Genomic DNA, 26,875 nt, shown 5'->3' with positions numbered 1-26,875 from the left:
ACGCTTCACTCTTAAAAGAGGCAATGTTGAGCCTCTTGTAAGAATTTTGACTTTCGTTCTGAGTAAAATGGGAAGTTATTGCAGGACTTTGAACAGATGAATGATAGCAGCTGTCTTACATTTATGAAGCTCACTCTGGCTGCTGTTTTGAGAATGGACTATGGAGTTTAAGTTAGAGGAAGAGAGATAGGGAGGAGGTTATTGGGTTAGGCCAGGTGAGAAAGGATGGTGGTTCAGAACAGGGCAGTAACCAAGGAAGTGGTGGGTGGTCAGATACTGCATATATTTGAAGGGAGAACCCAACAGGAACTCTTGACAGACTGGATGTGAGATGTGGCAGAGAGAGAAGATTCATAGCTAACTCTAAGACTTTTGACCTGAGCAGATGAAAGGATGCAGTTACCATGAAGGCTGCAGATGAGGTAGGTTAGAAAAGTAAGATCTGGAATTCTCTATGAGATCTATTCAGTTTGAGATACCCAGTAGATATTCGAGTGGAGATGTTGACTAGATAGTTAGATATGTGAGTCAGGAGTTCAAGAGAGAGGCTTGAGTTGGAGAAATACATTTATGAGTTTTCAGATTAGAGGTGGCATTTATGGCCCAGGAAACAGATGAGATTTTTAAGAAAGTGAGTGTGGAGAGAGAAGAAAAACAGGCTCAGGACAGAGCCTGGGCATTCCAACACTGAGAGGTTAGACAGTAAAGGCCAAATCAGCCAGATACTGAGAAGAAACAGAAGAAAACCAAGAGGGTATGCTGTCCTGGCAACCAAGTGTAGAGGGTGCAACCAGGAGGAGGGAATGATCCGTGTCATAAAATGCTGCTGGTCAGGTAAGATGAGGACTCAGGATTGACCCTTGGAATGATCAACATGGAGGACACTTGCTGGCTTTGATAATAGTTTTGGTGGAGTCATGTGGGCAAAAGCCTTATTGGGGCCAGTTCAAGACAGAGTGGTAAAGGAAAAGTTGAGGACAGAATTTACAGATGGCTATTAAGAAGTTTAGCTATTAAAAAATTGGGCAGTAGATAGAGGGGAAAGTAGTCAAAAAGGGTTTTTTGTTCATTTTATTAAAGATGCTACAAATAATGGCATTGTAGTAGGCTGATGGAAATGATTTAGTGAAGGGTTAAAAACTGGGCTAGGGAGCAGGAACTATTGGAGCAATGTCCTTTACTGGGTGAGAGGAATTAGGATCTAGTAAATAAACAGAACTGAAATAGGCTTTAAAACAGAACAGAAATAGTTCATATATGGTAACAAGTAATTTGGGTGGAGTTTTTATTTTATGTAGAAAATCGCATTTTTTGATCTGAGTTGTGATATTGATCACAAGAAAGCAACAGTGTTTGTTGAATCAATGATAAGACAGCTTCAAACTTGGCAGCTGTGCCCCCCCAGACATCTTCCCAGTACTCATCCTGCAGAAACATGCCTTATCCCAAAAGCGAAGGTCAAGGGCCAGACGACTGAAAACACGCTCCAGGTATTTTTAGGGGAAAGCCAGATAAGGGGCATTCCTGATGGTCTGAAGATGCTCCATATTAGATTAAAATGTCTGGTGGGACTAGAGGAAAGAAAGAAACAATTATGTTTTATAGTCACTTGAGTTCCATATAGGATTGGAAAGGAAGTGAAAAAAGGGGAGAAAACAATTTTCTATTTTTAAGTAAATGGATAGGATGATGATGAGTCAAATTAGCTAAGAAACAGTGCTTGGAAGTAGGGGAGAAAGTAATCTGCTATTTTAAGAAAATGGATGGGGTGCCAATGATTTAATTACATTAGCTAAGAAGCCAGTCAGCATTTATTATACCTTTCAGGGTGAGAGGGCTGGAGACTTGAATCTAGGACAAAGCTGAAAGCTTGGCAGCAGGAGCAGAGTCAGAAGCAAAGGCTGGAGTAAGTGGCAGGATTAAGGTAGCAAATGATATTGTCATTGTGTCTGTCTTTCTATGGGAATCACTGGGAATGGTATTGAGAAGTGAAGGGTGCCATGCCCTCCACTCACATCCTCTTCTGTGTCCACACCAATGCATATCTCACTGTTAAAGAAGACGCTGAGATAAAACAACTGCATAAGGAGCAGATAGTGTGCCATCTGAGGCCAAAACAAGATTGTAGGGAACTCAGCTGACAACATACATGCAGTAGAAATACAAAAGCAAGTGCAGCAGCATGGGAGAGTCTCCACCTCCATTCATTTTATGTTTGTTTAAAATTTCATTTAGTAAAGTCTTAGTTTCTTTGGTTCAATGTCATTATCAAATAATGCAAAGAATAGCTAACATGTTCAGTGCTTATAATGTGCCAGGTGCTGTTCTAAGTAGTTCAAATATATTAATTAATTTCAGGTAGGGACTATTATTCATTCTCCCTTTATAGATGAGGAAACTGAGGGACAGAGGAAGCTGGGGGTCAGCCCAGGCAGTCTTGTAGCAAAAGCCTATGCTTTTAACCAGTATATAAAAATCTATCTCAGGACTTAGAGACTTTTGGATGGCCAAGAACTCCTTACTGACTTCCTGTGTGCTTGTGAAAAATCCATTTCATCTTTGCATTATGAGATTCCATCCCAAATTAGTAAAATTTGAGTGAAAATTTCTTGTCATCACAGATATATTAAAGTAGAAACACTTAGCTGCTCTTTCTTATGAATTCAAACAATTTCTGAAACACTCACCCATGTGAGCATTATGTAATGATGAGTCAGAGCTGTCTGAAAGGTTTGGGAGTGATTTCTTATTCACATTGCTAATTGTTTAATTATGCTAAAATTATATTGACTAAATATTCTTCATATTTAAATGATTTCTGACTTCAGGTATACATATGAATCAATGGTAACTTGCTATATTCTTCTCAATACCAACATTTAACAATTAACAAAATATTAAATTTGTGCAATTCACCTATGGAAAAGAGCTAATGGGAAGTGGGAAAAGGGAGAGGAAAAACTGCTGTAAATGAAGGTGAAAAAATGAGAAAGAAGAATTCAATTTTGTAAGTAAGTGTTAGAAATCGTTTGTTGAGGAGAAAAAAAATGAAACAAATAAGTCAGATACTCTGTTAGGCATGAAGCTTCTCCATCCTGAAATAGAAGTAGTGCAAGAAAGCTTAACTTTTTGGAAAAAAAAGAATGGGTATTCTAGAGCCACTTATTTTGTTTTGTTTTTTTTTTCACTGGTAATGTGCTCACACAAGAGAATATTACATTGTGAATTCTGAGGGTGGGGTCACATTTCTCACTTTTTTTTTGGTATTTTGTATAGTAGCTAATGCTGTGCTGCTTTGCATACAGAAGGGTGTTGATGAATTTTGATTTGACTGGAAGGCAGAATAGATGAGCAGAACATTTAAAGCAGGGGTGTCCAATCTTTTGGCTTCCCTGGGCCACATTGGAAGAATAAGAATTGTCTTGAGCCACACGTAAAATACGCTAACACTAATGATAGCTGATGAGCTAAAAAAAAAAAATCGCAAAAAAATCTCATAATGTTTTATGAAAGTTTATGAATTTGTGTTGGGCGGTATTCAAAGTCATCCTGTGCTGCATGTGGCCGTGGGCTGCGGGTTGGACAAGTTTGATTTAAAGTCTCTGGTGAGGCTGGGCGTCTGTAATCTTAGCACTCTGGGAGGCCAAGGCGGGTGGCTCGCATGAGGTCAGGAGTTTGAGACCAGCCTGGTCAACATGGTGAAACCCCATCTCTATTAATAATACAAAATATTAGCCGAGTGTGGTGGTGGGTGCCTGTAGTCCCAGCTACTTGAGAGGCTGAGGCAGGATAATTGCTTGAACCCAGGAGGTGGAGGCTGCAGTGAGCCAAGATCGCGCCACCGCACTTTAGCCTAGGCGGCAGGGTGAAACTCCATCTCAAAAAAAAAAAAAAAAAAGGTTTCTGGTGAGGTACTCCTATAGACGTTTTGGTTTGGCAGACACACAGAAGAGTATGTAGGACTTGGAAATGTGGTCAAATGTGCATAGACACACGCACATTCTACTGAACTGTGCTCTAGTAATCAGGCCATAGCATCATAGCATACTTGTCAGGAAAACAATACCTGGTGAATGGCTCATCCTGAGTACAATTCCAGTAACAGTTCTGCCTTGATTTATTTTGTGATCGCAAACAATGTACTATCTTCTGTCATTCTAGCTTGTTTTCTACATCTATAATGGAATATTCTATCAAGGTACCCTAAAGTCACTTAGCTAACTATGATGCTGCAGATGAAAATAAGTGTTATATGCTGCTTGCTTAGAAATATTTTCTGGCCAGGAGCGCTGGCTCATGCCTGTAATCCTAGCACTTTGGGAAGCTGAGGTGGGCGGATCACGAGGTCAGGAGATCGAGACCATCCTGGCTAACACGGTGAAACCCCTTCTCTACTAAAAACACAAAAAATTAGCCGGGCCTGGTGGCAGACGCCTGTAGTCCCAGCTACTCGGGAGGCTGAGGCAGGAGAATCGCTTGAACCGGGAGACGGAGGTTGCAGTGAGCCGAGATGGTGCCACGGCACTCCAGCCTGGGGGACAGAGCCTCCATCTCAAAAACAAACAAACAAACAAAAATCTGAGATAAAGGTCAAAAGTATTTTTAAAACAGGGTTATTCTTAAAACAATGGCATAATTAAATGTAAGCATATGACCACAGCATTATGCGCTGACAACCTACATGTATAAAAATTCAGTGTTTCTCAGTAATCCCTGATCAAACATATTGGCATGAAATATAGAGGAATTAGAGTGATTACAAGCAGAAGTAATCAAAATCTTATTCCAAAAGATATCTATATTACAGTTGCTGTGGCAACCCACAACTTTTTTTGTTTGTTTGTTTGAGACAGGTTCTTGCTCTGTTGCCCAGGCTGGAGTGCAGTGGTGCAATCATGGCTCACTGCAACCTCTGCCCCCTGGGCTCAAGTGATTCTCCCATCTTAGCCTCCTAACTAGCCAGGACTACAGGCACATTCCACCACACCCAGCTAATTTTTAAATTTGTAGTAAAGATGGGGTTTTGCCATGTTTCTCAGGCTGGTCTTGAACTCCTGAGCTCAAGCGATTTGGCTGTCTCTTCCTCCCAAAGCGTTGGGATTATAGGAATGGGCCACCATGCCTCGCCTCTTTTTCTGCATTGTGTATCAAAGCCACAACATGATGTTTTTGTAAGTGATGTTATAGCAGCCCAAGTTCTGAGTACAATAGTTAATGACTCATCTCATTGAATTGTGTTTTTCAATCTTACTTGTTCACTATCATAGAGGGAAGTATTAAAGCCTTACAGTTCCTAGAAAAAATGGCCAGACTTTATTTTGAGTTTAAAGGGTCAGAATTTTATTATTCTGAAAAGGATATTGAGGTACATTGAGAATAAGCAACAAATGTGGGCTTATATATAAGCTGCCATGACTTAAATGGTTATTGATGATTTTTAAATCTTTAAATATTAGAGGATTGTAGGCTTATCACTTACTTGTGCAATCTATACCATTATCAATAACAAAAATGCTTTTCCCCAACTATGTAATATGTTGAAGTCACTATGTCAAGATCACAAGGTATAACAACCTAACATAAATTACATTTTATTTTAAAATAAAAATTTTCTCATAGCATAACATTTTTAGTACAACATTTTCTTATAACAAATAAAAGCAGACAAATCACAAGTGTATGAGCTCAGTGAATGCTCACAATTGCATAACCTCCACTTAGATCAAAATATAGACTATTGCTAGCACCCTAGTAATTCCTTGTTCTTTTTCGTAATCATTATCTGTCTTTTTTCAAATTTATCCACTATCTTGGCTTCTAAGACATAGATTGGCTTTAGCCTTTTAAAAATATAAACATTTTAATTAAAGTGTAACAAATATACAAAAAGCACACAAATCATAAGCACACAACCAACAAATTTTCATAAACTGAACATCTATATCTAACCAGCACCCAGATGAAAAACCAGAACATTATCAGCATCCCAGAAGGGGATCCCCCTCCTGTCCCCATCAGGTGATTTCCTCCCCAACAACAAGGATAACCGCTATCTTGATTTATAACATTATATATCAATTTTACCTGTTTTCAAACTTTCATTCTCATTGCTGTATAGTATCTCATGGTATGAATATATCATTTACTCTTTCTACGTATTAGTCATGTGAGTTGTTTCGTTTGGGCTAATACAAATAGTAACGTTGTGAACATTTTTGTGCATGTCTTTCAGTGGACATCATTCCATACCTCAGAGTGCAAGTGCTGAGTCATAGGATATGTATATGTCCAGCTTTAGTATATACTAGCAAACATAGTTCCAAAGTTGTACCAATTTGTATTCCTATCAGCAGCATGTGAAAATTCCAAGTGCTCCATATCCTTGCTAACCCTTGGTATTATTTGTTATTTTAGTCATTTTGGGGGGCATGTAGTGATATTGCATTGTAGTTTTATTTTCCATTCTCATGATGATTAATATCATTGAACACCTTCTCATGGGTTTATTGGCCAATTAGATATCCCCTTCTGTGAGGTGTCTACTCAAGTCTTATGCTCATTTTTCTTTTTCTTTCCTTCTTCTTCCTCTTTTTTTTTTTTTTTTTTTTGAGACAGGGTCTTCCTTTTGCCCAGCCTGGAGTGCAGTGGTATGATTCATGTCTCATTGCAGCCTTGACCTCCCCGACTCAAGTGATCCTCCTACCTCAGCCTCCCAAGTAGCTGGGACTACAGGCATGCACCACCCTGCCTTGGCTAATTTTTGCAATTTTTGTAGGGACAGGGTTTCGCCATGTTGCCCAGGCTGGTCTCCAACTCCTCAGCTTAAGCAATCCACCCGCCTCGGCCTCTCAAAGTGCTGAGATTACAGGTGTAAGCCACTGTGCCCAGCCTCATTTTTCTAATGTATGTCTTTGTATGTTATTTGTTGGAAGTATTTACATATTCTGGACACAAATCAGATATATGTATCACAAATATCTTTTTCCATTCTAGAGCTTGCCTATTCATTTTCTTATTGGTGTCTTTGGCAAACAGAGGTTATTAAGTTTAATGTAGTTCAACTGATCAATTTTTTCCCTTATAGTTAATGCTTTTTTGTGTCATAGATGGGAACTCTTTGCCTACCCCAAAGTCATGAAGATATTTTCCCATGTTTTCCTTTAAAAGTTTTATTGTTTTCTCTTTTATGTTTAGATCTACATACCATTCAAAATGGATTTTTGTGAGACATGGTCCAATATTTTTTCCCATGTTGATGTCCTATTCACTCAGTACTGTTTGTTGAAAAGATAACTTTTCTAAATCATGCTTTTGAGACAAGCCTATATGAGAGGCACTTTCAGAAAACATAAGCCTTTAAAAGCAGAATTATGTATAATTATGTGCCAAATTTGGAATGCTCTAAATTGCCAATACAGATAGCATAGGAAAATTAATTTCTTTGTTTCTAGACCAGGGATCAGCAGACTTTTTATGTAAAGAGATAGATAGTAAATAATTTAGGCTTTGTGGGCCATATAGTCTCTGTCACAACTACTCAACCGTGTTGCTGTAGCAAGAAAGTAGCCAAAGAAAGTAGCCATAGACAATATGAAAATAATGGGCATACTTATATTCCAATCAAACTTTATTTACAAAAACAGGTGGAAGACTAGATTTGGTCAAAGTCCTGCTGTAGTCTGCCACCAAAATTATCAAATAATTATGCATTTGTCTATTTCCTTGCATCAGTGAAAATCTGGTACAAGAATAGATCTCAGGCAGCCCCCTGGCCTGATCCTGCTTGATGATTATTCAATGGAATTGATATTGATTCACCCAGTCTAAGCTACCTTGGCTCTTTTTTAAGTATCTATGGTAAGACTGAGTGAATCAATATCAACTTCTCCAGTGAAGCCTTCCTCAGGTAGTCGTGTGGTGAGAGTCTTCAGGATGGTTTGGAAGGATTAATGTAGTATAAACTTCCCTTTATGGATGGAAGGGAATAGATTTCTTGAAGGAGTTGACTGGACAATCCCCCACACCCAGGTCATTTTATTGGCAGCTTGACATCTTTGTGGGGACCTGAAGGTTAGGGATGTTTGCACCCAGGATTGGAAACACTGTGACATCCATTGCTCTGTGTGTAGATGAGCTGTGTCCTCTAGCTAAATTAAAGGAAACTGTATCCCTGTATCCTCACCCTGTGTCAATGGCCTCTTTCTGTCAATCTTTTCACAAACCCTTATGACAGTTACACTTTTAGTTATAGTCTATAATGTTTTTTTTTTTTTTTTTTTTTGAGACAGGTTCTCATTCTGTTGTCCAGGCTAGAGTGCAGTGGTGTGACCACAGCTCATTGCAGCCTGGACCTCCTGGGCTCAGGCAATCCTTCCATCTCCGCCTCCCAAGTATCTGGGACTACAGGCACACACCACCATGCCCGGCTAATATTTTTTGTATTTTGTTTTGCAGAGACAGGTCTCTCTATACTGCCCAGGCTGGTCTCAAACTCCTGAGCTCAAGTGGTCCACTCACCTCTGCCTCCCAAAGTGCTGGGATTACAGGCGTGAGGTGCTGGGATTACAGGCGTGAGCTACTGTGCTGGGCCTAGACTATGACTTTTATTTTAAGGGAATGTCAGAAATTGGCCTAAGCCATAAACCAATCAGGAGTCAGGAAAAACTACCAAGTGGTTTAAACACTGAGCATTTTCCTCCTCTGAAAATGTTCTTTGTGTACTTCTTGATGTGTTATTACCAGGTGAACACTATCAGTTTTGTTACGGGTCTAAACAGAAAAGCGAATTTATAAATGAATTTTGCTGAGAGTTTTCTACTTCAGCTTCCCTCATTTATTGTCACATTTCCAATAGCAATTTATATATCTTAATTAACCATCATAATTTTTAAAAGACAGTTTAAAGCATCACTTCAAGAGCAGTGAGAAAGTAATTAAATCTTATTACTTAAGTAGTTAATTCTTTAATAAAATAGAGGATTGTATAGATAACACAGTGAACATCTTGGTTGCCAAACATTCCTCTAAATCTTTTCTGGAAACTTCTCCACTGAGTTCCTTTTCTAGACACAGGTTTTTGAATGAGAGGTCGTTCTCTTGATTTAAACAAGGCCAATGAACTCTGTTCTCAGACAACACAGAATTCAGATAAAGAGATTTTAGCTTGAGTGTGGCTGCTCTACTGAGCAGAGGAGTTGAAAACTCAGGAGCGACTGTCAGTAGCTGTTTTCATCATGTAAACTAAAAAACAGACTAAGGTGGACTGCAGCAATAGTGAAGAATGACAAAAGAGCAGAGGTAAGGGGTGAAGGGCATCCCTAGACTGCTCATAGCATTCCAGATGGTTCTGTCAGCCCAGCTCCAACACGTAGGTCTACAAGACACAGGTTTATTCTTTAAACCAATTCCTCCATTCTTTTCTCTCTCTCTTTTCTTTTTAACGCTAGCTAAAACGAGTATCTGTTACTTGCAATTAAAATAATTCTAACTAATGCATCATCTAGTCCAGACTTCTCATTTTACAGGAAAAGAAACAGAAGCCCAGGAATGATCAATGCTTTGTTCAGAGACCTATTTTCAGCGACACAGCTGTGACTAGAATTCAGTCTCCTTCTCCCTCTTTGGTGGACTTTTCTCCGGGTGATGCTAAACTGACATTTATTTAATGAACTCACCTTGAATCTCAGCTTGGAATTAGTTCTTTTTGAATGGATTTGTCATTTTTCTTTTGGTTTGAGTAGGTAACAGACTGTCCCTGAGGTCCTTACTGACCAGAAGAGAAACACTCAGCTTTACAGTTTTGCTTCTCCTGCTTCAGCAATTTGAGCTAATTATGGAAAAGCCTTATTTGGTATAGTGAATTCTGTGCACTATCCAGATGTCCCCTTCAGAAACAGGCATTTATTTCCCTAGCTCCTGAGAGTGTTGGCTGCAGAAGCTGACAGCTATGGCTCTTTCTAAGAGTTGCCCCACTGATGGGAATGGTCTCACCAAGGTTACGTCTCTTCCCTGGGGCAGGCCTGCCCTCAATGCCAGGGAACAAAAGCCTGGTCCCCTTGCCTCAATTCAGAACAATTCTGAAGGCTATTTCAGCTCCAGGCCCCCACTGCAGCTGCACTGAAATTCAACTACTTCCTCCAATCTTGCTTCCCTCCCTTCCTGAGAGGACTCCCTAATTTAAAGCTCCTGTGTATAAATCTCTACATCAGTCTGTTTCTCTGGGAATCCTATCTAAAATAGTAGATTTTTTACTGTTCCATTGCCAGAGTAAAAGATAAGAGGGGAAAAAAAAGGCTACATAGAGCAGTTTGTGGCAGGAAGCCTAACATCCCTCAAAGTACTCCTCCCTCACAAACAAAATCCTGTGTTTCTCTTTCCAATTTATATATTTTTAATTTTTTTTCTTCTGGAGATATGGTCTCACTGTGTTGCCCAGGCTGGAATGCAGTGACTATTCTCAGATGTGATCACAGCTCACTGTGGACTTGAACTCCCTGGGCTCAAGGAATCAGCCTCCTGAGTAGCTAGGACTACAGGCACATGTCACCACACTGATCTCCAACTGACATTTTTTAAAATGGTGTTAGGTGTGATTTATTTCATACCTGGTTATTTCTTTAAGACACTAAAAATACATCATACTGTGTTTTTATTATATTTTACAAAGCTTGTTCTAATACATTATTTTTATATTTTTAAAACACTGTATTTAGTTGCTAATTAGCACTAGTTTCATTGCAATTGCCTACTTCCTTGCTGGTCTTCCACCCTAAACTGTCTTGTCTTTGAATCACTAGCACCTATCTTTGAGACTGACCCTGGTCAAGTATTCAGTTAATCTTGGTTGAATAAATGGAGAGATTGCATTCAGTCGAAATTGGGGAAAAGATTATAGCAGAAAAAAAAGCCCTAAAGGCCCAAATCAGGTTTCATTGAGTAAGATTTCTTATCCTCAGAAGACTAGAGATATTAACAATGAATTGCCAGAAAGACATATTAGAAACTTGCTTTCTTCAAAAAGAATCAGTATCCAGGCTGGGTGCAGTGGTTCATGCCTGTAATCCCAGAACTTTAGGAGGCTGAAGTGGGAGAATCACTTGAGGTCAGGAGTTCAAGACCAGACTAGGCAACATAGTGAGACCCTGTCTCTACAAAACTAAAAGAAAAATTACCCAGGTGTGGTGGTGTGCACCTGTAGTCCCAGCTACTTGGGAGGCTGAGGCAGGAGGATCACTTGAGCCCAGGAGGTTAAGGCCGCAGTGAGCCACGACTGTGCCACTGCACTCCACCCTGAGTGATAGAGCAATGCCCTGTCTCAAAATAATAATAACAATAATAAAGAAAATAAAAAGAAAAAAATAATTGGTATCTGGAATTCTGAGTTTGGCAACATGTAGACTAAGTTAATAGAACCCTACCCACAACAAAATTATGTATGAGATTTAATTTTAATTTCCTCCAATATTTTATTTTGAAAAACTTCAAAGCTAGAGTAAAGTTAAAAGTTGGAGAACAAAAAAGAGCTTTCCCCCCTTTTCCCTCTCTCTCTATCTTTATGAACTAATGGATTATTATTATTATATTTTTTTGAGATGGGAGTTTCGCTCTTGTTGCCCAGGCTGGAGTGCAATGGCACGAGCTCGGCCCACTGCAACCTCTGCCTCCTGGGTTCAAGTGATTCTCCTGCCTCAGCCTCCCGTGTAGTAGCTGGGATTACAGGCATGTACCACCATGCCTGGCTAATTTTGCATTTTTAGTAGAGACGGGGTTTCACCATATTGGTCAGGCTGGTCTTGAACTCCTGACCTCAGGTGATCCACCCACCTTGGCCTTCCAAAGTGCTGGGATTATAGGTGTGAGCCACCATGCCCAGCCGGATTATTATTTTTTTTTATACAATGTGCTGGTCTATCATGGTCATTATTATTTTTGATGCATAAATTGTCCCTTGTTTGATCAGCAAGTCTTCCTTCAATCTGACCTCCGTGTCCTTTTAACATGACCCCACTAATCTTTTGTTATTTCTTTGTATTCTGGCACGTACTACATGGCTGAACTCACAAGAAAGGAAATCCCCATATGCCAGAAAGAAAAGAGATCTGAAAGCCAAAGTGGTGTGTAACTGTACACTGACACTGATGTAGTCCTGGAGGTAATTAGGGAACTTAGAAATAAACCCTAACAGCTACACATATCCGTAAGTGGTGAGTGTAGCAGAGAGTAGAACTAAGTTTTTGGCTTGGTGTAAAGCTAGGACCTGTAAGTGCCATGAAAGGGGAATGAGAAACTCTACCCATAAGCCTAAGGACAGCAAGGTTCCAGGGACTTTGGGTAGGGGAAAAAAATCACTGGTGAGAGATAAAAATTGCCACACCATGGAGGGCACAGTAGCTCACGCCTGTAATCCCAGCACTTTGGGAGGCCAAGGCGGATGGATCACCTGAGGTCAGGAGTTCGAGACCAGCCTGACCAATACAGTAAAACCCCGTCTCTGCTAAAAATACAAAAATTAGCTGGGCGTGGTGGCAGGCTCCTGTAGTCCCAGCTACTCAGGAGGCTGAGACAGGAGAATCGCTTGAACCCAAGAGGCAGAGGTTGCAGTGAGCCAAGATCGCGCCACTGCACTCCAGCCTGGGTGACAGAGTGACACTCCGTCTCAAAACAAAAAAACAAAAAAACAGAAAAAAACCCTGCCACACATGTGGTGATTTAAATTATTTAAATTTAATTAAATAAATTTATTTTACTTTACTTTTTATTTATTTTTTTGAGCTAGGGTCTCACTCTGTCACCCAGGCTGAAGTCCAGTGGTGCCATCATGGCTCACTGTGAAGTCCAGTGGTGCCATCATGGCTCACTGCAGCCTCCACCTCCCTGGGCTCAAATGATCCTCCCACCTCAGCCCCCCAGTAGCGGAGATTACAGTCACGTGCCACCGAGCCCGGCTCATTTTTAAATTTTTTTTGTAGACATGGGGTTTTGCCATGTTGCCCAGGCTGGTCTTGAAATCCTGGGCTCAAGCAATCCTCCTGCCTCGTCCTCCAAAAGTTCTGGGATTACAGGCATGAGCCACTGCACCAGGCAATTTAATTTTAAATGATTTGTGTGGTATGGAAATCTCCAAGATACCCTCAGGGTGCCTAGCAAAGGCATGCACAAAATCTATTTGGAGGGACGTTCCCACAATCCACAACTCAATGTATCTTCATAGAATTAACAATTGCCATTCAAGATGTACCCACAATAAAAAATGACAAGACACATGAGGAAAGAATGTGAGGTGAACAAAGAGGAGTATTGACCATGTAGTACTTGATAGGTTAGGACATTCTGAAAGAAAGTATAAAATTAGAATCTTTAAATGGTGAAATAAATGAGGAACCAAAATTAAACAAATCACTGCGAAAAAGGAACAATGAATTTTCCTAACAACTTATTTCTAATAATGTAGCAATTAAAAAATAAAATTAAATGAGATTTATGAAATTAAATGAGAAATACATGGGGTGGATAAACAGCTGATTAGACACAACTGAGGAGAGTAGTGAATTACAGCAGGTACCAAATTTGTGAAATTAAGTAAATTAACCAGAATGAAGCACAATGAGAGGTGTCTAACAAGAATTCTTGTATGAAAGAATAGAGATGGCAGGGCGCGGTGGCTCACATCTGTAATCCCAGCACTTTGGGAGGCCGAGGAGGGCGGATCACTTGAGATCAGGAATTCAAGATGGCCTAGCCTACATGGCAAAACCTCATCTCTACTAAAAATACACAAATTAGCTGGGCGTGATGGTGCACACCTGTAGTCCCAGCTACTCAGGAGGCTGAGGCAGGGGAATCACTTGAACTGGGAGGCAGAGGTTGCAGTGAGCTGAGATCCCGCCTCTGCACTCCAGCCTGGGCAACAGAGTGAGAATCCATCTCACACACACAAAAAAAGACTAGAGAGTTTTTGTGAGGTAGTATTTGAAAATGGATGAGAAATTTCTAGAATTGATGCACAACATAAATCCTCAGTAAGATGAAGTAGACCAAGTGTTGAGTGGGATAAATAAAAATAAAACCTCTACCTAGAATACCAAAGAAAAGACAAAAATCTTACAAGCAATCATAAAGAAAAGGTGGATTAGCCAAAAGGATTTGCAAAGAGATAATAGACTTTTCAGCAGCAAAATGAGAGGGTAAAAGATAATGCAATATTATCTGTGAAGTGTTAAAGGAAAATAAAGCCTATGTGGAATTCTATACCAAACTATTATTCAGGAGTAAGGGTGAAGATAAATATTTTTAGGGACAGTTTCACTGAAAGAACTATTAAGAATGTACTTCAAGAAGGAGGAAATTGAATTCAAAAAGGAAGAAGGATTCAAGAAGCAGTGGTGAACAAAGAAAATGTTGAATGTGTAATTATATTTTAGTAAGCATTTAGTGTAAAGTGAAAAGTTAATGACTAACAGAAGGAAGTGGTTAAAAGCAAGGTGGAACTAAATTTAAGGAGATTGACAAATATGTTAAAATAAATTGCCTCCAGCACCTCTGTATCAGTCTGTTTGTGTTGCTATAAGGGAATACCTGAGGCTGGGTAATTCATAAAGAAAAGAGGTTTAATTGGCTCACCATTCTGCAGGCTGTGCAAGCATGACACCAGCATCTGCTCCACTTCTGATGAGGCCTCATGAAAGAAGATGAAGAGGGAGCCGGCTTATCACAGGGCAAGAGCAGGAGCAACAGAGATGGGGAGACGTGCCAAGCTGTTTTAAACAACTAGGTCTCTCATGAACTACCAGAGCGAGAACACACTCATCACCAAGGTGATGGTGCTAAGCCATGCATGAGGGATCCATGCCTGTGATCCAAACACCTCCTACCAGTCCCCACCTCCAACAATGGGATTACATTTCAACATGAGATTTGAGGGTAGCAAATATCCAAACTATAACATCCTCTCCAAATTTCCTCATGCTCATTTTTAATTCCTCTCACCCACCTGTCCCCCTGCCCTCATCTCTTGGAAACCACTGTTCTGCTTTCTGTCACTGTTGAGACAGATAGGCGGGTTGGTTCCGTTTTAATGTGGTCTGGAGGAAAAGAACAAAAGCCCCTTAAGCTTAAGTGCTAGCTTACCTCTCAGCCAATTAGTAACAAAACGCCTAAGAAACTGTTAAAAACAACTTCCTCCCTCAGGGAGCTAGGGACTTCCCCAGGGCTCTGCATGTGCAGTTAGACATCATCTCCAACCTACAGTTACCCCTTCCTCATTTCAGTGCTAACAATCACACCCAGGGCATGAAGATTTAAAATGCTAATGCTACATAGGATGTATGAAGAAGCATGTAGAGCCACTGTGCAAGTGCTAGAAAAAACCCTCCCATACATGCCCTGACCCAACCCTTCCCTAGAGAGAGACTCATTAAAACTAATCCACACGCTACCCTCAGGAGGCAGCCCATTCCTTTTGCTTTCATGGTGCTGGCTTCTTGTGCACAAGCTGAATAAAGTTTCCTTTGCTGCTATGTTTGGTGATCTCTCTTGATTTCTATACTGGGGGATTGCAAGAATCCAGGGCACCTGCCAGTAACACTATGAATTAGTTTGTAGTTTCTAAAATTTCATATAAATGGGAGTCATACAATATACATACACCTTTCTTTTTTGGTCTGGTTTCTTTCACTCAGGATAAATATCTTGAGATTCATCCATGACATTGCATGTAGCTACTGCCGTTTCTTTTTATTCCTCAGAAGTATTCCATGGTTTGGATTTGTATGGATATATCACAATTTATCCCTTCATCTGTTGATGATATTTGGGTTGTTTCCAGTTTCTGGCCATTTCAAATAAAGCTACTATAAATAAATCTTTGTATAGAAAATTATTTCATTTTTCTTAGGTAAATACTAGGAGTAGAAAATTTGGATTATATGTGAGGTATGTGTTTAACTTTTTAAGAAACTGAACAGCCGGGCACGGTGACTTACGCCTGTAATCCCAGCACTTTAGGAGGCCAAGGTGGGCAGATCATGAGGTCAGGAGTTTGAGACCAGCCTGGCCAACATGGCGAAACTCTGTCTCTACTAAAAATACAAAAAATAAAAATAAAAATAAAAATTAGCCTGGTGTGGTGGCATGCACCTGTAATCCCAACTACTCAAGAGGCTGAGTTAGGAGAATTGCTTAAACCCGGAAGGTGGAGGTTGCAGTGACCTGAGATTGTGCCACTGCACTCCAGCCTGGGTGACAAAGCAAGACTCTGTCTCAGAAGAAAAAAAAAAAAAAGGAAAGAAGGTGAACAGTTTTCCAAAGTTGTTCTGCTATTTTACATTCCCATCACCAATTTATGAAAATTCCAGGCCGGGCGTGGTGGCTCATGCGTGTAATCTGAGCACTTTGGGAGGCCGAGGCAGATGGATCACTTGAGGTCAGGAGTTTGAGATGAGTCTGGACAATATGGTGAAACCCATCTCTACTAAAAATACAAAAATTAGCCAGGTGTGGTGACATATGCCTGTAATCCCAGCTACTAAGGAGGCTGAGGCATAAGACTTGCCAACATTTGGTATGGTCAGCCATTCTAATATTGGCCATTCTAATAGGTATATAGTAGTATTTCATTGTAATTTTTAATTTCCAGTGACTAATGATGTTGAACAACTTTTCATATGCTTATTTTCCACTTAAGTATCTTTTTGGAGGAAGTGTCTGTTCAAATATTTATCTATTTTTAAAATTGGGTTGTTTTCTTATTATTGAAAGTTCTTTATATATTGTGGGTAAAAGTTATCAGATACACAATTTATAAATATTTTCTCAAAGTCTGTGGCTTGCATTTTCATTCTCTTAATAGTTACTTTTACAGAGCAAAAGATTTTTATGAAGTTCAGTTTTTTAAAAATATATTATGCTTTTAGCATTGTATCTAAAAAATCTTTTCCTAAAAAAGGTCACAAAGATTTTTCTCGTTTACTTCAAGCAGTTTTGTAGTTTTAGGTGTGAAAGGAAAATATCTTAGGCCTCCAAAATCACTAAGCTAAAGCGAAAATTCAAGCTGGGAACTGCTTAGGGCAAACCTGCCTCCCATCCTATTCAAAGTCATCCCTCTGCTCACTCAGATAAATGCATATCTGATTGCCTCTTTTGGAAAGGCTAATCAGAAACTCAAAAGAATGCTGCCTTTGTCTCTCATGGATTGATGTCTCATGTCTCCCTAAAATGTATAAAACCAAGTTTTGTCCTGACTACCTTGGGCACATAGCATCAGGACTTCCTGAGGCTGTGTCATGAGCATGCATCCTCAACCTTGGCAAAATAAACTTTTTAAATTAACTGAGACCTGTCTCAAATTTTGGGGGTTCACATAGGTTTTACATTTAGTTCTAAATATTGATTTTTATTTAATTTTTGGGTATGGTATGAGGTATGGATTAAAGTTTTTTTGGATATGGAGACCTAATTTTAATCTTTGTTATGACTGATTTAGCTATTTATGGACCTTTATTATTCCTCATACATTTTTGAGTTTTACTAGTTCCTTAAATCTTACTGGAATTTTAATTGCAATTACAGTCAATGTAGAGATTAATTTGGGGGAAAATCAACATGAGCCTTCAGAGTCTCTCCAGTTGTTTCACTGAAACTGTCTTGCCAAAGTCATCAGTTACCTCCATGTTGCTAAATCCAACAGGCAAGTTTTAATCTAAATCTTACTTGGCCTCTCAGTAGCATTTGGCAAAGGGTATCATTTCCTCTTCAATGAAACTTGGTTTCCAGGACTCTATACCAGAGATTAGCCAACTTTTTCTGTAAAGGGCCAGATAGCAACTCTAAACTTTGAGGACCTTATAATCTCTTTTGCAATTACTCAGCTCTGCCTGTACTGACTACAGTGTGAAAACAGCCATAGACAATATGTAAACAAATAAAAGGCAGCAAGTCAGATTTGGTCTCTGTGAGCTATAGTTTGCCAACTTTTGCTCTATATTCTCCTCGTTTTAATCCTATCTTTCATTCATCCTTACCTTACCTTTTCTGTCTCTTGTGTTTGTTGCTCCTTGTTCCCTTAATCTGTTAACATCAGAGCACCCCAGGACCTAATTTTTGACCTTTCTTCTTATCTATAATAGATTGTTGATGATATCACCCAATGTCATGATTTTAAGTATTTTATCTATGCTAATAAATCTGAAATTTATATCTCCAGCTCAGATCACGTACTGAACTCCAGATGTTATATCCAATGTCCTTTTAACATCTCCACTTCGATATCTGATAAACATCTCAATCAAGACATGTCCAGAACTCCTCTGTCTTAACAAACCTACTCTGTTTTCAACATAGTTATTAGTCAAGGTCTCCAGAGAAAGAGAATCAATAGGATATATGTATATTTATACCTATGTATTGACTGATAGAGGAAATCCATTAAAGCTATTGGCTCACACAGTTATAGACGCTAAGAAGTTTAACAGTCTTCCATGTGCAAGTTGAAGAACCAGGAAAACTGGTGGCATAATTTAGCTTGAGTCCAAAGGCCTGAGAACTGGGAGCTGACAGTGTAAGTCCTGGTCTTAGCCTGAAAGCCTGAGAACCAGGAGCAGTGATATCAGTAGATAGATGTCTTAGTTCAAGCAGAGAGAGCAAATTTGACCTTCCTCATCCGTTTGATTCTAGTCTGGACTTCAAAAACTTGGATGATGCCCACCCACATTGGTGAGAGTGACATTCTTTACTGAGACTACCAAGTGAAATGCTAATCTCTTCTAGAAACACCCTCACAGACACCACAGAAATAATATTTACCAGCTATATGGGCATCCCTTAGCCCAGTCAAGTTTATCATAAACTAAAAGACAAGCCACATATTGGAAAAAGATAATTAACAAAGGACTAGTATCCAGAATATATAAAGGATTGGTTAGAAAAAGCCAGACAACCCAACAGAGAAAAGAGGACAAAAGATAGAGACACACATTCATAATGGGAAACCATAATGGCCAATAAACATATGACAAGATGATCTGCCTCCCCAGTAATTAAGAAATGCAAATTAAAACAATATACCATTTTATATCCATTAGTTTGACAATGAGAAAAATCATACATAACAGTGAGGATGTGGGGAAATGGGACCTTTCACACACTGTCGATTGGAATGTAAACTGGTACAACTATTTTAAAGAGCAATTTAGAAATTTCTGGAAAAGCTGAATATGCACATACGCTAGGACTCAACAGTTCTGCTCCTTGGTGTATGTCCAGGTAAACTTTTTCTTGGGTGTAAAAATCTATGTGCCAGAGTTTTTTGCAAATTGGTTTGCAACATAAAAAAACTGGAGACAATACTATCACTCATCAATGGAGACATGAATGAACAAACTTGTTTATTCTTACAATGGAATAAAACTTAAAAGACCTGAATTCATGCCAAATTATGGCTAAATCGCCAAAACCTAATGTATGATGAAAAGTTGCAGAATACATGGAGCATAACGCCATTCATTTACATTTTAAAATCACAAAACAACTGTTTTTTGAATACATACACACTTGGTAAAAGTATAAACACAAGTAAGGGAATGATATCCACAAACTATAAAACAGTAATTATCCTGGAGAGAGAGGAGAAAGAGAAGGGTGGGGTTTAGCTTTATAAGATTTTATGACTTAGACCTTTAAACAAACATGGCAAAATGTAACAACTATCAAATGTGGGAATTAGGTTCATGAGTGTGCTATATTATTTGCTAATATTTAAAATATTTTATAGTTAATTTTATATTAAAAATCACTAGTAGCTTATTGTCTTTTAACACTTACATGTTGATATACTCACTGTAAACAATATTTAAACGTGCAGGAGTAAATAGAATAAAAGTTCTCACTTACTGCTTCCTTCCCTAAATCTCTTTTCCTTCCCGATTAAGATTAATCATGTATCGTTTCTACCCATTTGTACATATATATGCAAATATGTACACAAAAAGTTTTCTTGTATATAAGTGAATTTCTAGCAACACCTGCTTACACACACACACACACACAAATGAACATCCGTTTTCTGAAATGCTTGGGATCAGAAGTGTTTCAGATTTCTTTTTTTTTTTTTTTGTATTTTGGATTATTTGCATTATATACTTACTGGTTGAGCACTCCAAATCTGAAAATCTGAAATCTTCCAGTGGCCATTTCCTTTGAGCATCAGTCATGTTGGTGGGTCAGAAAGTTTTGGACTTTGGAGCATTTGAATTTCTGGATTAGGGATACCCAAACTGTGTGTGTGTGTGTGTGTGTGTGTGTGTGTGTGTGTGTGTGTGTGTATCCTCATCCTTTTCAACTCTTGGAAAATATTCCAGAGTATAAATAAGCCACCTTTTCTTTCATTGTACCCTAACTTTGGAAACTCAGTCTGTTTTAAATTGTTTAAAATTATAATGTTACAGCAATTTCTGTACATATACCTGAGTACACATTTATTAGTATTCTTTGAGTTTTTGAGAAATAGACTGAATATATTTAAAATTTTGATGATGTCAATTTTCCTTTCAAAAAGGCCCTATAGTCAGGTGTGGTGGCTCAAGTCTCTACTCTCAGCTATTAATGATGTTGCGAGGATTGCTTGAGTCCAGAAGTTTGAGTCCAGCCTAGACAACACGGAGAGATCTTGTCTCTAAAAAAAAAAAACCCAAAGAAACAAAAGGCCCTATAATTTATATTCCTTTAAAAATGATATGACAGTGGCTATTTCCTTATAGTCTTACAACCTTTAAAAATATTGGATATGATTGTCTAACTTGTGACAACTTGATGAACAAACATGTTTCATTTTAATTTACATTTCTCTCATCACTAGAGACTTAGTATTTCTTCTTTTGTGAATTTCTTATTTGTATCATTTGCCTATCTTTCCATTGAGTTATGTTTTGCTAACTGATTCACAGGATCAATTAACTATTTCAATCATGACATAGGTGGCAAATAACTTTCTCTAAACTTTATTTATAGTAGCTTTCACAGAATACAGAAGTTTTATATTTTTATGTGGATATATTTGTCAACTTGTTGGGATTTCGATAAATGTTTTTTCTATTTTTGAGATGGAGTTTCGCTCTTGTTGCCTAGGCTGGAGTGCAATGGTGCGATCTCGGCTCACTGCAACATCTGCCTACCGGGTTCAAGCGATTCTCACGCCTCAGCCTCCCGAGTAGCTGGGATTACAGGCATGCACCACCACGCCTGGCTAATTTTGTATTTTTAGTAGAGACGGGGTTTCTCCATGTTGGTCAGGCTGGTCTCAAACTCCCAACCTCAGGTGATCCACCCACCTAGGCCTCCCAAAGTACTGGAACTACAGGCATGGGCCACTGCACCTGGCCTCAATAGATTTTTGAAAAACTGTCATCTCCAGAATTTTCAATTGTCCTATCTAGGAACATAGTATATCTCTCCTTTTTAAGTGTTATAGCTTATTTTAGAAGTCTATTCCCAGACTTTAAAAAGTCTATTTTACAGTTTTGTTTGCAATTATAAATAGGATCTGTTTTCCATTTCTGATTGGTGACAACTGATATACAGTAAAACTATATTAATTTTGCATGTATCCACTTTGGCTTCAGAAAACTCACCTTCAGAACTGGAATCTTCATTTCTTTGTTGACCTATGGCTTTGTGTTTATGGTTAAATTATGTGCTTTGTCAATAGGTATAGAAATTCCACATATTCTTATTCTTGTGTGCTTTTTTGGTATTGTACTGATGCTGTGAGATGCATCTACAGGAAAATAAGAACTAACTTAAACACAGTTTGACTAAAATCTTAATTTTAATGTTCTGAATTAGATGTTGTACAAACTACCTGCCATATTCCCCCAGCTTCGAATCTACATATGCTTCTCAAATCTGACTCTCCTGCTATATACCATTTCTAACTTCCGCTAAAAGATTGTGTTAGAAAGTCCTGCTGGGCCTCTGAGCCTGGATATTTGCAATTAGAATTCATATACCCCACTTTCACTAGATCTCAATAGTCAAAGCAAAATTATATTTGGGCAACCCCTTGTGTGAATACAGAAAACTTAAAAAAAATAACCAAATAAAAAACATTTAATTAAAGCTGGTTATGGTGGTATGCACCTGTAGTCCTAGCTACTTAGGAGGCTGAGGCAGGATGATTGCTTGAGGTCAGAAATTCTAGGCTGCAGTGTGCTATGACTGTGCCTATGAATAGCTACTGCACTCCAGCCTGGGCAACATGGTGAGATACCCATGTGTAAAAAAGTTTTCTTTTTTTCTTTTTTTGAGACGGAGTCTTGTTCTCTCAGGCTGGAGTGCAGTGGCACAATCTTAGCTCACCACAACCTCTGCTTCCCTGGCTCAAGTAATTCTCCTGCCTCAGCCTCCTGACTAGCTGGGATTACAGGTGTGTATCACCATGTCCTGCTAATTTTGCATTTTTAATAGAGATGGGGTTTCTCCACGTTGGTTGGGCTGGTCTCGAACTTCCGACCTCAGGTAATCCACCTGCCTCAGCCTGCCAAAGTGCTGGGATTACAGGCGTGAGCCACCACACCCAGCCATGAATTACTTTATCTAATTAAACTATTAAATAACCAGTTAAAATCCATTTGAAATATAAATATATGATTATAAGAATAGGCAGGGTGCAGTGGCTTACACCTGTAATCCCAGCACTTTGGGAGGCTGAGGTGGGAGGATCAACTGAGCTCAGGAATTTGAGACCAGCCTGGCCAACATAATGAGACCTTGTCCTTACTAAAAATAAAAAAAATAGCTAGGTGTGGTGGCGCATACCTCTAGTCTCAGCTATTTGGGAGGCTTAGTTGGCATAACTGCTGAGCCCCAGGGGTCAAGGCTTTAGTGGACCATGACCATGCCACTGCACTCCAACCTGGGTGACACAGCAGAACTCAATCTCAAAAAATAAATAAATAAATTAGCATATGCTATATAAGAATAGAGTGCGACATCTTTCAGAATTTTGTGACAGTCAAGCCTGTTGTTGACATGTTTATATACTTCACAGGAACTTTATTTATTTATTTATTTTTGAGACGGAGTTTCACTCTTGTTGCCTAGGCTGGAGTGCAATGGTGCGATCTCGGCTCACTGCAACCTCCGTCTCCTGGGTTCAAGCAATTCTCCTGCCTCAGTCTCCCGAGTAGCTGGGATTACAGACATGTGCCACCACACCTGGCTAATTCTGTATTTTTTTTAGTAGAGACAGGGTTTCCCCATGTTGGTCAGGCTGGTCTAGAACTCCTGACCTCAGGTGATCTGCCTGCCTCGGCCTCCCAAAGTGCTGGGATTACAGGCGTGAGCCACTGCGCCCAGCCAGGAACTTTCAGGAACTTTATTGTGTAGTCTTATGGCATGAAAGTACAATATCATATCTACCTATCTGTATCAATATATCTTTTTTTTTTCCTTTTTCCTTTTTTTTTCTTTTTTTTTTTTGAGACAGAGTCTCACTCTGTCCCCCAGGCTGGAGTGCAGTGGCACAATCTCAGTTCACTGCAACCTCCACCTCCCGGGTTCAAGTGATTTTCCTGCCTCAGCCTCCCGAGTAGCTGGGACTACAGGCGCCCGCCACCATACCTGGCTAATTTTTGTGTTTTTAGTAGAGATGGGGTTTCACCACATTGGCCAGGCTGGTCTCGAACTCCTGACCTTGTGATCTGCCCGCCTCAGCCTCCCAAAGTGCGGGATTACAGGTGTGAGCCACAGCGCCCGGGCCTATATCAATATATCTTAAAATTTCTAAGCCACTATCTTTAATAAACATGTGAATTATTAATCTCATCTGCTACTAATAATGACTATAAGAAAGAAATCTGGAGTTATTTAAATTAATATGAATGAAAAATGGAACAGGGAATTCAGGTTAAAGAAAAAAGCTCAGTGATAAAATATTCAATAACACTAAAATATAGAATATATATTAAATTTAAATAACGTCAGCCAACTTTCCTCAAAATATGTCATATAGACACTAAAATAACTGTAAGTCAGCACATTTATATAGTGATTATATACTGCGATGACATTCAGCATTCTCTTAAAAGGGCAAATTTCAAATTTGAAACGACTTTCATTTTTCTCTAGGTATAATTTCTAGATACATAACAATGCTTGCATTGAGAATCTTGCAAAAATTAAAAACCCTGTATCATCATCAAATGAGAGAATTTATCAGTGAATGGGAGAAAACATACTATTCACTGAGAAAATAGAATGGCAAAGATACACAGATAAAAGAGAAACAAGAAGAATATTAAACAGTATTTTACAGTTCCTAGTGTTAGATGGTAGAATGCCAGGACCTTTTGTGATACTGCCCATCTTGTCAAGGACAGGACATGTGGAAGAAGAGAAGCCATTTAAGTTTCATTAATTAAAACGATGAGAATGTAGCCACCGATTACATTTCACACTAAAGTCTAACTTTGTCTAAATACAGCTAATTCTACTAAGGCCATATTAAATAGTTTGATCAAGGGCCACTATTTCCTCTTTAAACTAGGATTTCTTTATTCCATAGTGACCCTAGGTGACTATAATATTTTATTCATCTATTTTCAGAAAACTGATAAAAAATGTCTTCATAAGAACACAGAGATACTCTCTATCTCTAAAAAGAAACTGTACAATTATATATTAGCTACAGAAATAATCCCAGTGCTTTAGAAAACAAAGGCCACTTTCTGTAGAGAGCTGGCATACACTGTGATTTTTTTGACCAATTTAATATTTTTCAGGACTAAATATCATTTTAATCTAACAATTTAAATGTAATAATTGCATTTCACATGGCAGGAAAACTCACCAATTTGTAAAAGCACCACATTCTCAAATAGCTATGGTAAGATCAAATACTCATCAAGGTCAAAGATTGAATATATCTCCCTAAGCATTTACTTTGCTTTATGAAATTTGATTTTCAATGAAAATGAAATGTTTTCTTATCTAATTTCCTTTAGAAATACTTAATTATGTTCTTTAGTTCTCAGTAATGACCTTTTAACATGAAATTTAAATATGAAGCTATTCTGTAATTCATTCATTTTCAATATGCCAGTTCAGGGAAAATGTCTGCATTTCCAGGACTTTTGCCAGAGTTGTAGATTTTAAAGTTAAAAAGTACAAAGACTTGTTGTATTCTAGAAAACTCATTGCTTCTGAGTTGGTGCATCACAATATGGCACATTTTCTACAAGAAGGTCTTTCCTAGGGACCAGTTCTGAAAGAAAAAAAAAAAAGAGAATAATTAACATCACTAAAATTAGAATTAAATGCAAGGACACTCATTTCCCCCTAAAATTTAAAATAGTAAAATATCCAGTTTTAAGATAAATCTTCCAGGGATATTTTATTTCAGTTGATATCTAAGGTGGCATCCTTGACTCTAATTAGAATTAATAGCATTCTCATTTCAGATTATATAAAAACATATATGATCCACTTAACCCTTTATCATTAAATATAGCAAATCAAATAACTGAAGAGAATTCAGCTAAAACTTCTATTATTGGTCATTTAATTACCAATTACTGATAATGAAAACAACTGGAAATTTTGCTTATACTATCTACTATATGAAAAGCAAGACTGGTCTCCTAATTTAAAGATTCTAAATTTTAAATAACAATTGTTCTTAAAAGAGGGTGTTTTGTGTGGTCATATCAACTGGAGAATGCTACTGGAATTTAGTGGGCAGGAGCCAGGGATGCTAAACCTTCTGTAATGGGTGGAACAGTCTGGCATAGTGAAGAACTGTCCTGTCAAAAATGCCAATAGTGCCCACATTGAGAAATATCATAAAACAACAACAAAAACCTGTTGAGTCCTAGGTAAGACATCTTGCTGGAGTTAAGATAAAGCTCTTAAGATACAAATTTTTGGCCGGGTGTGGTGACTCACGGCTGTAATCCTAGAACTTTGGGAGGCTAAGGAGGGATGATCATTTGAGGTCTAGAGTTGGAAACTAGCCTGACTAACATGGTGAAACCCCATCTCTACTGAAAAAAAAAAAAAAAATCAGCTGGGTGTGGTGGTGCATGCCTGTAATCCCAGCTACTCAGGAGAATGAGGCACAAGAATCGCTTGAACATGGGAGGCGGAGGTTGCAGTGAGTGAGCCGAGATGGTGCCACTGCACTCCAGCCTGGGGGACACAGTGGCAGTCCACCTCAAAAAAAAAAAATTCCAAATTTTTGAGGAGATACATTGATTTCTTCTTCTTTTCTCCAGAAGAGCTGAACCTAGATGAGCTATCAATCAAAAAATGCTTGCACGACCTTCTACAAAATAACCTGCCTATACTTTTCAAAACATCATGGACATGAAAGACGAAGAAAGACTGAAGGACTGCTCTAGATTAAGGATACCTAAAGAGACATGATGACTACATGCAATGTGTGATCCCCAATAGGATACTGGTCCACAGGGAATTTTTTTTCCTTTTGCCATAAAATACATTATTAGGACAAATGGAAAGATTAAATGATAGCATTGCATCAATATTAATACCCTGGTTTTGGTCATTATATTGCAGTTACATTAGAGAATGTCCTTGTATATTTAGGAAATACACACTGAAGTATCTTAAAAAAATATACTCTAAGGTATTTCTCCAGGAGATCTAGACCCAAATGGGCTGTCATAATTCTAAAAATGTTCATTTGGGGTAAATAGGCATTATGTCTGCAACTTACTCTCAGAAAGTTCAGGAAAAAAAAATGAGGGAAACACAATAAGGCAAATATGGTAAAATGTTAGCATTTGTAGAATCTGGGTAAAGGAAATTCTCATACCCTTCAACTTTTGCACTTTTTTTGTAAATCTGAATTATTTCAAAATAAAAA

General features: G+C 38.6%; 2 protein-coding genes and 1 long non-coding RNA gene across 7 annotated transcripts in view, besides 2 other annotated features; 1 reads left to right on the top strand and 2 right to left on the bottom strand.

Moving 5' to 3' along the window:
- The window catches only part of CDC42SE2 (CDC42 small effector 2), a 184,621-nt gene extending 169,890 nt beyond the window's left edge, over window positions 1–14,731 (bottom strand). For both annotated transcript variants that reach the window (XM_047417396.1, XM_047417393.1), the window contains exon 1: window positions 14,620–14,731. The gene's annotated coding sequence lies outside the window, so the exon portion shown is untranslated. The remainder of the gene's footprint in view (window positions 1–14,619) is intronic.
- LOC124901061 (uncharacterized) lies at window positions 312–15,515 on the top strand. 2 transcript variants are annotated; one of them, XR_007058932.1, is made up of 2 exons: window positions 312–422; window positions 14,630–15,515. It is a non-coding gene; the product is annotated as an uncharacterized LOC124901061 (long non-coding RNA). The 2 variants fall into 2 exon arrangements; XR_007058931.1 differs by having other exon boundaries at window positions 312–834.
- Window positions 313–372: an enhancer, noted in NCBI's record as "active region_23043". NCBI's record gives its function as "activates an Ori minimal core promoter by ATAC-STARR-seq in GM12878 lymphoblastoid cells {active_cell/tissue: GM12878}" and the evidence as "EXISTENCE:reporter gene assay evidence [ECO:0000049][PMID:35858748]".
- Window positions 11,893–12,032: an enhancer, noted in NCBI's record as "active region_23042". NCBI's record gives its function as "activates an Ori minimal core promoter by ATAC-STARR-seq in GM12878 lymphoblastoid cells {active_cell/tissue: GM12878}" and the evidence as "EXISTENCE:reporter gene assay evidence [ECO:0000049][PMID:35858748]".
- Window positions 19,355–26,875, bottom strand: part of LYRM7 (LYR motif containing 7) — a 34,485-nt gene continuing 26,964 nt past the window's right edge. For all 3 annotated transcript variants that reach the window (NR_121658.2, NM_181705.4, NM_001293735.2), the window contains one exon: window positions 19,355–25,252. Coding sequence is in view for 2 of the 3 variants with exons in the window: in NM_181705.4 (NP_859056.2) it covers window positions 25,182–25,252 (71 nt within the window). In the remaining variant the exon portion in view is untranslated. The remainder of the gene's footprint in view (window positions 25,253–26,875) is intronic.

This window comes from Homo sapiens, chromosome 5 (assembly GCF_000001405.40).
Source record: "Homo sapiens chromosome 5, GRCh38.p14 Primary Assembly".
NCBI lineage: Eukaryota > Metazoa > Chordata > Mammalia > Primates > Hominidae > Homo > Homo sapiens.
This window is presented reverse-complemented; position numbering and strand designations above follow the sequence as displayed.